The 13101-nt window shown below is 36.9% G+C and overlaps 1 protein-coding gene and 1 long non-coding RNA gene across 11 annotated transcripts in view; one reads left to right on the top strand and one right to left on the bottom strand.

Annotated features, from left to right (window-relative positions):
* The window catches only part of MLIP (muscular LMNA interacting protein), a 247311-nt gene that overhangs the window by 212409 nt on the left and 21801 nt on the right, over positions 1-13101 (bottom strand). The gene's annotated exons all lie outside the window — the stretch shown is intronic.
* On the top strand, positions 6278-7053 carry MLIP-AS1 (MLIP antisense RNA 1). Its single transcript, NR_046710.1, has 2 exons — positions 6278-6580; positions 6713-7053. It is a non-coding gene; the product is annotated as an MLIP antisense RNA 1 (long non-coding RNA).

The following is a 13101-nucleotide window of genomic DNA, read 5'->3' as shown; positions in this document are numbered from 1 at the left end:
TATTATATTAGCCACTAGTGCACTTGTATCAGTCAGACATCTCAGAATCTCCCACCTGGATTCAATTCTCAAATAGACACTTAAAAATCTGGAAATAAAATAAAAATTGTAACAAGGAAATTTTATTCAGCTAGGCACTGTGCTAAGCTCTTTACATGCATTTTCTAATTTAATTTGCACAACAACTCTACAAGGTATATTAGATTAATATGACTAAATTAAGTTCAGTTACTTGCCCACAGTCACAAAGCTAGTAATCATGATAGCATTCTGCAATTTGGCATTACTTTCTTTCATTTTAATTTCACAACCACCTGCTATGGTAAATCAAGAAATTAATATCATGTCACTTGAACTTTATAATGAGATTTTGCACAAGTCCCTGCCTATGTAAGTAAGACTATTAATTTAAACTTTATATTGCATTTTCCCAGAATGAGAAGTAGGAGAAAAAAGATAATTTCTCTAAACCATGAAAGAAAAGACATCATAAATGCTATTCATTTTCATATGAAGTTTAAAGGTAGAAAAATATAAATATCATCTCTTTAACATCCCAAAATTATGGTTCTGAGCATATTCTTTTACCTTGTGAAATAGCTGACATTTTGACTGTTTTGAACTACAAAATGGGAATTCCACATGGTTCAACCCAGTACAAAACATAGTGGTGCTTAAGGTATGGGTATCAGAGCCAGGAATACCTAGGATCAAGTCCTGCTATTGCCATTTTCTAGTTCTGTGTTCCCAGCACACTATCACTGCTCTTAGTCTTAGGTCCTTTCATTATAAAATGGGGCTAATATAAGTGCTCACTTTTGTGAGAAGATGATGCACAAAGCACTTAGCAGTCAACAATGCTCTGAAATGACCACCATATTTTTTATTCATTTACTTTCAGACTGAGCCAACAATTTCCCCAATCCACATATCTCCCTCTTACAATACCTCAAAGTAGACCAGCATATTAATATGAGACCTCATTCACCACTATTCCTTTATCCTCTGAAATAAACCTCAGATTCACTTTAGAAACCAATAGAGATTCAGCTCTGCACTCCAATTTATTCCCTCATTCTAGAATTTTATATTTATAATTTGTCACAATGTTTTCTCATATTTCTATCTTGGACTATCACTCTCCCCTTTTCAATAAGTAGTATAATTTTTTCCTTATAATTTATCTCCAAAAAAACAGTGAAAGAAGAGCATTCTTGAATGTGTGCTAAAACTAATTATTATAACTCAGGGATTGTTAGGACACTATATAAACAATTGTGACAATGTGTGTCCATTTTTATGTGGATAATTATGAACCATTTCAGTTATTTTGTGTAAAAGAAAAATAGATCTCTACCTGTGTCTTTTCAAACTTTAGCTAAAAACAAAAATGCTAATTCTCTAAAATCAGTGTTATTAAACATAATCTAAACCTTTCCTTTCCTTACCAGAATTGCAGAAACAATTCAGGCTTTCTCAGTAGATGGTTGAACAACAGGTAGACGAACTTAAAAGTTTCCTTCTGCTCTAGGAGTGCCATGATTTTCATAGGAGTTTAATGTGCTTTCCTGATGCCATTGGTCCTGGTCCAATTTATCATAGTTGTCCTATAGCCATCCAGGTAGATGTTCATCTGAGCCTAAGAGGATCATATATTTCTTCTCTGGGACCCAGTAATTGAGCAAAGGGCTACACCTGTGATCTAAACTAGGCAAGTCAGCGTTCTCACCCATAATTTTCTAGCTTAACGCTGTTACCATTATCTTTTCTATCATAATCCATGAGCCTGACTAAGAGTGAGGCCAACACAGAGAAGTCAGAAGAGAGAAAGCAGAGCAGCAGTAAGATGGAGAAAATCAGACACTGATTACATCATTTTAGCTTCTGAATTCAGCACTGCCTGAAGTCCATATACCCTTGGTCTTCCAGTTATACCAAGCAATAAATTCCCATTTTTAAAAGGCAATTTGAATTGTATTTGTTACCAGCAAACAACAAAAGGAAACATGTAAAATGCTTGCCATAATGCCAGTCCGTACTAAGTGTTCTAAACTTTATTTATATAGCCCAAAAACTGTGTCTTCAAAAATTATAAACTTTATGGTTAGATAAGACCATCAAGATCTTCCATTCCTGTTCCCTCATTTTCTAGAGAAACTGAGACCCAGAGAGGATAAAGTGTTCCTCACAATCAAATTGCTCTTTATTTGCACATCTGGGATCAGAATCCCAGATTTTCTTTTTCCTATGTGTCATAGTCCCCTAAAATTGTCTACAATATAGAGACTATCAGGATTAATTAAGGTCTGGGAGGGACACTGAAAGTCTCAAACACAGGTAAAGAGGAAAAAGCAGTCTCCTTTAGGCTGAGTTTGGGAGTTTTGTACGTTTGGGTTTTGGTACATTTTTCAGACAACATTAAAGTAATAATCAGTAAATTTGAGTTTTCCACTGATGTTACAACTACCCATTCCCTGCCTTTGTATTGAAAGGAAAAATAAAAGAAAAAATTAATATTTGAAGTGGCATATTTAAATTAAATTAAACAATTTAATTCAAAGAATGCATTGATTCTAAGCACTCAAAAAGCACTCTACAATGTATTATAAACAAAACAAAGATGACTAAAACATACTTGCTGCAGGATAGTTCTTCAAATATTATATTTATACTAATACTTATATATTTATAATATACAAATATTTATACTAGTAGACTGCTCGAGGTCCAACAAGGAGGTTGAGAGTGGGGAGAAGGGAAAGTGGAGCAAGAAACACAAAAGAGATGGAAACAAATACCTCCTGAAGGACTTGGGGAGACCTTCTTGAAAAAGTGCCTTGAGCTAGTTTTATTGTTGGGTTGGATTTCAAAAGCCTGCATTGGAAACGTCTGTAGGACAAAGACATTCCAGATGCAGTAAACAGCATGAGGACAGAAAGTTCAGAGTATGTTTTGTAAACACAGATGGACCTGTGAGTTCATGTGAAAGATAAGCGTATAAAAATAGTTAGTGTTAGGTGAAGAATATCAGGAGAAGAACTTCCCATCTTTAATAGCCTTTCAGAATTCTCAAAACCTCAGAGTGTAGGGGAATAATACCATGATGCCCATACAGCTTGCCAGAATACAAAAACTGCACTCATTTCTCTATTTTAACCAGCTGGGGCAAAACAACATTCTCTTCCACGATTTTATGTTTCATCATTAAAAACGTTGAATTTAGCTATAAAGATATGCAATCAAACAATGATTATATTAGGAAAAATGGAAATCAAAAACAAAAAAACTCAAATTATAAACAATCTAAATGTCTAGCAGCAGACTGTCAAATAAGGATAATATCCAAACCATAAAATACTATCCAGACAAATTAACATTGTGAAGAATATTTAATGAGAACAATAATGTTCAAATGTGCTGTGACCCAAAAAAGAGTACTAAACACTATATGCAGAATGAATTCATGGTGTGCAAATGTGTATATCTGTACATGTACATGTATGTGTTTGTATAAAGCAAGAAGATAATATACTAAGGCATTAGTCATGGTTATTGGCAGATGGTAAGGTAAAAAATACTATATGTGTTTTCATTTTCTTTCCATTGATTATTTGTGCTTTAAGCCTTTATTACAGAAATATGTATTACTTTTATAAAGTAAAAATAATATGTATGTGTATATACTTAGGTATATACAAGGCTTAATCCTTTACATGAGGGGAAGTGAATTTAAATAGACACTAGAGCTTCAGATGTTTACTTTAAAAGAAAATGAATAAATCAATGAATGGATGTTCTTTTTTTCTGTAACAAGAGCTCCCATGTGAAAAACCCTCTCTACCCACTTTGCAATGTATCAAATCATGTAATCAAACTTAAATTTGTTGTTTAATTCTGAGACAATTATTAAACTGTCACCAACATTTCAACCAGAGTACGTACAATGTTGCACTTTAGTATAATAAAGTTTTACACAATATATTTTTAGATAACCCAAAGAAAGGGATTAAACTCTTTAATTTCCTTTGGATATTACTTCACAGTGACATTCCAAAACTATTTAATGATTACTTCATTGAAAACACAATTTACATTAGATTATTAATTATATGCAAGATGTAAATTATGGAAGAGCTCAATTTATATATTGTGAATAATGCTTTAAAGATAAGACTTAGAATTGGAGATTGGGGGTAAGTAGTGGTGTTTAGCTGAGCATACAGAGCCCATCTTGTAGGGTAAGAAAGCATCTCTACATAATAAAGCTGTATCTTAATTATGCCTGACCCTCTCACTACAAGTAAATAGGGTGTTTCCCAATTTGCTTCCTTTCACCTAACATTTATCTTTGTGGGTGATGAAGGAGTACTATTGATTGTAAAACAAGTACCATCAGCATCAATCTAGCATTTGTGTCAGTATTTCTGCAGCTTCATAACGAACCAGCAATAAGTGACACCAAGACTTACTCATGACACTAGAGCACTGACCCAGCAGAAGTGTGAGCAAGCAAGTAGGTTCACATTTACAAAAAGATTATGCAGCTATGCTTCTTCTTTTCTGTTCTTTATATAAAGCAGATGCTTTCAGCCATTACTGTATGTTGGAAGGCCTGAGGAGTATTGTTTAAATATTGATAACAGGGCCCCACCCACAGAGATTAGCTTTACACTGATCTTTTGTGGGCTTTAGGTATTTGCTGAAAATCCTCAGAGGATTCTAGTTCATTAGCCAAGGTCAAGAGCCCTGGTTCAGTGTTAGGTTTATGTATATCCACATTTAAGACATTAATGTCTTATTCTTTCTTTAAAACAAATCTTGTTTGTAACATTACTACATAGACTTTCAAGGAAAGTCTAAAAGTAGCCAGATGACCCAGGACATCAGCATTTTTATCTCAAGTGTGCCACCAACTCTCTCTATCTCTGACTTCTTCTCAAGACCAGCCTTGAGTACTGAGTCCTAATTTTGAGGAGTAGGTTGCAAACACCAAAAATTCAACTCTTACTTAGAAATTTCAGCAAGGGGGATATTATCTAAAACTCAGCCAATACAAGACTCCTCCCCATTCTACACTTTCCATCACTAAAACCTGTCACCAGTCCATTCCCAGCCTCCTACCCACAGATACTTCAAACATAATAATGTCACCAGAGGCTCAGGCCAGAGCCTTCATCTGTGCCCTATGGAACCACTCTGCTCTTCAGGGGAAACATATATTTAACCTATGCCTTGAACATTCGTTTTAGCTCCTCCCCAATAACTGATGGCTGCCCCTTCCCTCAATGGCTTTGTTTCCCATAAACATCTTTCGAATAGAGTAGATCGAAGCCAGTTGCAGTTATGCTCCTTCATGACCACATGCCCACTGTAAACTGGGTGCATGCCCAAACACCCCTCAACCCCCAATACCCTTTGCAATCACTGTTCTCTGCCATCTCTGAATAACCTCTGCTCTCTCAAAATGCACATTCTCCCCAAGCACTGAATCTTCCCAGCCCTGTATCTGTCATTGCCTGGCTACAGGACCATCACCCATTTTCCATAATGATTTCAGCATCTTACTCCTCATGAGACTCATTCCTTTCTCTATCCCTTTACTATGAATGCTGATAACCTTTCCAGAACCCTAGCCTCAAAGTAGAACCTGATCTTTTCAGCAAAAATGGCTTTTATTTCCATTGTACTTCAGCCACCTACTGACAGACATCACCATCCCATTGGGAACAGCTCTTCTCTCAATGCCTAAATCTAGAAATACCTCTCCTACAGTACCACCTCCCTTCTCAGGACACTCTCATGGTCTTCTTTACTACAGGGCTAAGCTTCCTCAAAGAGGGGTCCTATGCACTGCTCCCCCTCTCTCATCAACCACTTACTATATAATTCCTTGGAACATGTATAGCTAATTAAACCAGCAGAGAAGTTAAGAGCACAGTCCTGAGTTTGTGCCCTACATATAGTACATTGTATGATCTTGGAAAAAATATTTCATCTCTGTAGACTATTGAAAAGGGGGACAATGAAAATCTCTGCCTCATGGCCATTGCTGTAAGGATTAAATGATTTAATGCAATCTATGTGCATAGCACAGTAACTGTCACAGAGTAAACTCTTAACACATTCTAGCCTCTTCTTGTTGATATTAGTTTTCATTATTATCTGGCTTCTACACCCACAGTCATGCGGAACTGCTTAGTTGAAGTTCAACAGTGACATCACGTCGATAGGTCAGCAGGTCTCAATCCTCTTCTGTCCCCAAAGTTCCATTCTTCCTGGGTTCCGCTTGACTCTGCATTCTCCTACTTCCCTGCCTGCTTACTCTCTGCCATCATAGTTTTTTGCTTCAACCTTCAAATGTAGCCATTCTTTTTCTAAAGCGGTACTTATTCTCTTTATTAGTTAAAATTATTAATTTTATGCACTTACTGTTCTAGCTCCAATTTTGCATTTCCAGTTCCCTGCTGGGAATAAATTAAATTGGCAGAAGCTCAGTCTAAGTGCCTGCAACAGAATTTGTCCCATATCCATACAACTTGCTCCTCCACAACAAATGGGAGAATCATCCTCTTACCTCCAGGTTTGTATCACTCATCCCTCTATCTTCCTCTCTCTCTTAGTAGCCAATCAAGTGTCAAAACCCACAAATTTTGTTTCTGTAACACCCATCTTTTTTCCATTCACTGAATATGTCTTTTGTTCAATTTCCCAGCACCTGCCTCAAACAAAGTTTCTGATCCATCTACCACGTAACTTTGACGCTGACCAAGAATTACAGCTTCAAAGAAATCATTCGAGGATCATTAATATCTTGGTCATGAATAACTTTTATGTGAAAGGCTCTGCAGCTAATCTCAAGTGCAGTGAACTCTGTTTCATTACTGTATTTCCAAATTTAGAGTTATTTGGGTTGTATATAGGTCAGATAATTTACTTTTTTGTTTTCAACCTAATATAAAGCACCTCCAAACTTTCTGCCATTTGCTATTACTTTTCTCCCTCAGTGAGTGCCAAATTAGCTCAATTTTAGTTAATTTGCAAGGTCTGACAATCAAGACTATCCTCAGCAGCAAGCAGAAAAATTTCTGAATGACTAGATACAATTTCAAGGGACAAGAAATTTCTCTGTCCCTGGCTCATTGGCAATGAGGTATCACAGCCAGGGTTTATTCTTCTGTGATCATGATAGTATTTGAAGAACTCAACAAAAGAATGTTAATTCTGACAATTTATAATAGTGAAATAATTAACACAGTCTTAATGTCAAATAATAGTGTATTATTTAAATGATGTAGGGAACAGTTGTGCAATACAAAACCATGGAGATATTAAATATGGCTTATTAGCATGTTTAAAGGTAGAAAATACCATCATACATTAAGAAAAGATACAGTTTGAAACTTGCACACAGGATAGTTCCATTTCTTTATATGAAGAATATATATCAACAGTAGTAGAAGAAGTCTTAGAGAGATGAAATTGTGGGAACATTTTTCTTTTAACTTTATTTTCTATATATTCTATAATGACAATGTATTAAATTATAAAAATAAAAAATGAGTTTTCTTATCATTAGAAATAACAGTCCAAAAAAAAAAAAAGTAATGTCCATCCCTTTAAGGATAGCCTTTATTGGTCAAATTTAAAGTTAATATAAGTTAGGTTATTCAACATTTATGGAAAGGGTATTTTAATGGACTCTTGGGGGAAAAGAGATACATGTTTCTGAAGACACTGGAACTCAGGGAAATATAGCCACCAGTGGCTGGGCTGATCAAAGGAAGGGGAGAATGAAAATATTATCTTCCCCACGAATAATCTTACCTAGAGAGAGGCTGGTACCAACAACTAACCTTAAATAAATGTAAAACTAGAGGTCTGTATTAGTCCATTCTCGCACTGCTGTAAAAACCTCCTGAAACTGAAATTTATAAAGAAAATAAGTTAAATTGGTTCACAGTTCTCGTTCTTGCACTGCTATAAATAACTACCTGAGACTGGGTAATTTATAAAGAAAAGATGTTTAATTGGCTCACAGTTCCACAGGTTGTACAGGAAACAGCTGGGGAGGCCTCAGGAAACTTACAATCATGGCACAAGGTGAAGAGGAAGGAGTTACGTTTTGCACGGCCAGAGAAGTAGGAAGAGCGTAAAGTGGGAGGTGCTACACATTTTTGGACAACTAGATCTCGTGAGAACTCAATATCACAAGAACAGCAAGGGGAAAATCCACGCCCATGATCCAGTCACCTCCCACCAGGTCCCTCTTCCAACACTGGGGATTAAAATTCAACATGAGATTCAAGAGGAGACACAAATCCAAACCATATCAAGGTCTCTGCTGAATATGCTGTTATTCACTTAACATTCATGACAAGTCTACCAGCATCATAAAAGTCACGACGACTCACAAGAAAATCAAATTTACATTTTTGCCACTACCATGTTCATTGAGAAGGGTAAAACTTTCAAAATTTGATCATGCATGGTGCATCACCATTCCTCATGAATTTTTTTTTTTTTTTGAAAAGGAGTCTCACTCTGCCGCCCAGGCTGGAGGGCAATGGCGGATTTCGGCTCACTGCAATCTTCACCTCCCGGGTTCAAGTGATTATCCTGCCTCAGCCTCCTGAGTAGCTGGGATTACAGGTGCCCGCCACCATGCCTGGGTAATTTTTGTATTTTTAGTAGAGATAGGTTTCGTCATGTTGGCCAGGCTGTTCTCAAACCCCTCACCTCAAGTGAACTGCCCACCTCGGCCTCCCTAAGTGCTGGGATTTCAGGCATGAGCTACCGTGCCGGGCCCATTCCTCATGAATTTCTACTGAAGGAAGAGATATCATAACAACAATTTGAAGCCAAGTTTTAAATTACTATGATTAAAGTAAATATAACATTTTTAAATAAAAATCTAGAATTTTCTACATATCAAATATTAAACTTCAATATGAAATTGTACTGTGGTTCTGCCTATTGCAAATTGAAAGCAAACTGATATGTTTCATCAGTGCTAGAGAAAAACCTTCAGATAAAATTTTCAAGCAAGAGCTCTTAGTTCCCTCTGTCCTTTCCATTGATCGGCCCTTGCTATTTCTTTCCAATATATGTGGCATTAATTTCACCGACCTAACACCCACCTAAAGTCTTCATAGTGGAAGTAAATTAGGTAATGGTTTTACAGTAAACCTTAAGGTCTTCTTTTGAAATAAGGTGACGTTGAAGAAAAAAAAAAAAACGTCTACCACGGCTGGAATAGATTGCTTTCAAATATCTAAAAATTGGCAAAAGCAGCCATGTGTTTGACCTACCTATGTGTTTGAACAACAATACACAAGGGCCTATGTGCTTGAAATATTTCCTAAACATTGCATTATTTCAAAAACAAAAAGACAAAAACCTCAAGAGTATGTTTTAAGTAGTATTGAGAGATCTTGGACACAGAGTGCCCCATTTGGGCCACAGCAATCGGATTTATACAGGAAAAGAATGTGGTGCCACATCACACAAATAGCATCCAATCCATCATGCTTAGAGATGGCAACTCAAGGCACATCAGTGGAGGACAGCTGCTTGACATTCTGTTTCCATTCACTCTTAAAGAACTGTGGCAGCTTTTAAAATTGATTATGGCTTTTAATTCTTGAACCAGAAACCAAAGACCATGGTAATTGGCACATTTGTCAAATTTAAGGACTAAATACTTAGATGACCCGACTGTTTACTGTGTTTGCTATGAATCACTGAGTCTGCACCAGCAACAAAATGATAAGTGTTCTTTTTAAAAAGTCTGAGAAATTTGGGTTGTATTCTATTTGCAAAGGAATAAAGAAGCACTAAAGTCATCATTTCTGGTACACTTTAAGATAGAGTAGCAAACCACAGCTTCCTATAGATCTGACTCGTCTTGGTTCCACAGCCAACACCCCACTCCAGTCAACCTTCACCTCACACTTTTGAGCTGAGAAAACCTCTATCTCGCTCCCTGATTTCTCCTCATTCTCATCCATTCCACACACTGTCACCATGACACATATTTTCTGTAATGTCTTTTCAGCATTTTGGTCACCTGACATTCCCTTAAATTAGTTAAGACTGTGGGCTTCCACTACTGGATCAAGATTTGTTTCCCCCATGTCACTCCCAACTTCTTTCACATGCCAACTCCCGTTACTAATTGGCATCCTATTCCCTAATTATAAGAGAAGCCCCATCCTATCTCTGTACCAGACATAATTCACAGTGTTAATTCTGAGCAGGCTGATTCCTCTGGCTCAGTTAGCTTTACACAGAAGTGGGTAGAGAACATACTTGGCACAAAACACGAAAGTCATCAGGCTGTGGGTGGAGCAGCTTTCTTTAGAGAGGGTTGAGGGTGGCAAGAACGAAAACATGTAGGATAAATCCAAGCACCAAGAGAAATTACATAGATGACATGCTGTGTTAGCTCCTTTGTTTCAGGTCAGCCTTTCAAGATGGATCATTTCAATTCATTACATCTTAACTAGCCACAAGGGGAATAGGTAAGCAGCTCTTATTCATTTAAAACATCATTTTTACTTTAAAACAAATAGAAACATATCATGGAATAAAGCACAGTATTCACACTCATTGTTGATATAAAATGAAGACATTATCTAAGAAGTCCCAGATGGGAGAAGACGGCCTCAGGCTATACCCAAGTTCTTTGGGAGAACTTGTTCCCACTCCTCTGACTTAACTGCTAAAAGGGAGCAGCACTGGGTCTAAAGAAGGTTCGAGGATGTTTGTAGGAGTGTCATGAGGTGCTGTGCTGGCAGAAATCTCAAAGTGAATGAATAGTAAATCTCTGAGAGTCTTGAGACTTTTGCCTACAGTTTATCCTAAACAGACACAACTGTGTCTAAATCTTCCCAGATGTCACTTATCTCCCTTTATATTTATGTTTCCTTTACTACTCGTGGTTCCTTCCCTACCTCCCATGTCAGCAAAAATTTCATTACTAAGTGACGATGATGATAATGATGGTGGTTGCAGTAGTAATGAATAGATTCCTACATTTCCAAATTTCAAGAAATTGTGACATACGTTACTCAACTGATGTTAGCTTTATTAAGGAGGAACTTTATTCCTAATTTACACATGTGGAAACTGAGGGAGAGATTAGGTATATTGTCCCTGGTGATGATAGTCTTATGACTCCAGATCTGCTGCCCTTTCACTCTAAGACTCTGTCTTCAACTCCTCTGTCCTTTGTTTCCTCAACATGCTTAGTTCATGTCACAGAATACTGCTTCACAGATGTTTTCTAAATGTTCTTACATAATTTCACATTTTATCCTAACTAGACTGTGACTTTCTGGTGATATACCTTCTGTTGTGATAGAATCATGACTTTAAAAAAATATGTTTGGTACCCTAAAATCAGTTGCTAGGGAAACAAGCTGAAAACTCAGTTATAAATCTGTAAATATATCTATTAAAATCAAAGAAGAAAAAGGTGGAGGGAGAGAGAAGGAAGAGGAGGATGAGGAGGAGGAGAATGTAGAGCAGGAGAAGAAGAAAGCAGATAGGAACTGCTACATCCCTCTTCTACCTGTCCTAGTGAAAATTCCAAGAGATGCTTTAGGTAATAGGAAAACTTAGTCCAGACAACATTTATTACATCTAGGGAGAGTCTTTTCAGTTTTATTCACAGAAAGGCTGTGAGTAAAAGCCAAAAATTGCATAGGCTGTTGGGAAAGAAGTTGAGTAAAACTCTTGGGGAACTGCTGGTTTCTGGATTAAGATTTATTCCTTTCTTATGTAGAAGAACCTGATATTGTTAAGGGATCCACCCTACCCCCACAAACCCTATATGAATTAGGAAAAATTGACCTGATCCCAGCAACAGGGAAAAATGCTAACTTCTAAGCTAGTGGTTCTCACTAAGTGGTACCATCCTCCCAGTGGAATGTGAACATATATGAGGACATTTTTGGTTGTCATAATGAGCATTTGGTGCCTGAGGTCCGGGAAGCTAAATTAGCTACAAGGTATAGAACAGCCTATATAATCAGGAATTGTACCAGCCAAAATGCCAATTGTGGGCTGATGAAAAAAACACTGGCCTAAACTAATCGACAGCAAAATACTTTGCCAATGACAAAAATCCTTGAATAGGTACTTAAGCAATGATATACAAATGGAAAGTCTGCACATGAAAAGATGCTCAACATTATTGGCCACGAGGGATGCAAGTTCAAGCCATGATGAGATGCCAGCACGTGCCTATTAGGATGACTATAATAAAAAATATTGAAAATATCAAGTGTGGGTAGAGATGTAGACCAACTGGAACTCACACACACTTTGCTAGTGGAAATACAAAATATTTTGGCCACCCTGGAAAAACAGTTTGGCAGTTTTCTGTAAAGTTAATCATATACTTATATGACTCAGAAAGTCCTCTCCTAGTTATTTACCCTGGAAATGGAAGGCTTATGTTCACACAAAATCTATACCTACTAAACTATATAACAGCTTCATTTATTAACTGCCAAAAATCATGAACAATTTAAATGTTCTTCAGTGGGTGAATGTTTAAACAAACTGTGGAACACCGATACAATGCAATACTACTCAATAATACAGAAACAAAGTATTAGTCTATTGAGGCATGGAGCAATATTGTTATAACATTCCCAAAAAGATATAACCATAGTGTTGGAGAACAAATCAGTGGTTGCCAGGAGTTGGGGGTAGGGAAAGATATAACTAAAAAAGGGCAGTTTGAAATTTCATATTTTGTCTCCATGACAGATTTTTTGTTTTTAATTTCAGCTTTCATCGTAGCTTCAGGTGGTGTATATGCAGGTTTGTTACATGGGTACATTTTGTGATGCTGAGGTTTGGGGTATGATTGATCCCCTCACCCACGTAGTGAGCTTATTACACAACAGGTAGTTTTTCAGCCCTTGACCTTCTTCCTCTCTCCCACCTCTAGTAGTCCCCACTGCTTATTATTCCTGTCTTTATGTCCATGTGTACCTGTTCTTTATTTCCCACTTATGAGTGAGAACATGCAGTATTTGGTTTTCTGTTTCTTCATTAATTCTATTAGGATAATGGCCTCCAGCTCCATCC

Source organism: Homo sapiens, chromosome 6 (genome assembly GCF_000001405.40).
Source record: "Homo sapiens chromosome 6, GRCh38.p14 Primary Assembly".
Lineage (NCBI taxonomy): Eukaryota > Metazoa > Chordata > Mammalia > Primates > Hominidae > Homo > Homo sapiens.
This window is presented reverse-complemented; position numbering and strand designations above follow the sequence as displayed.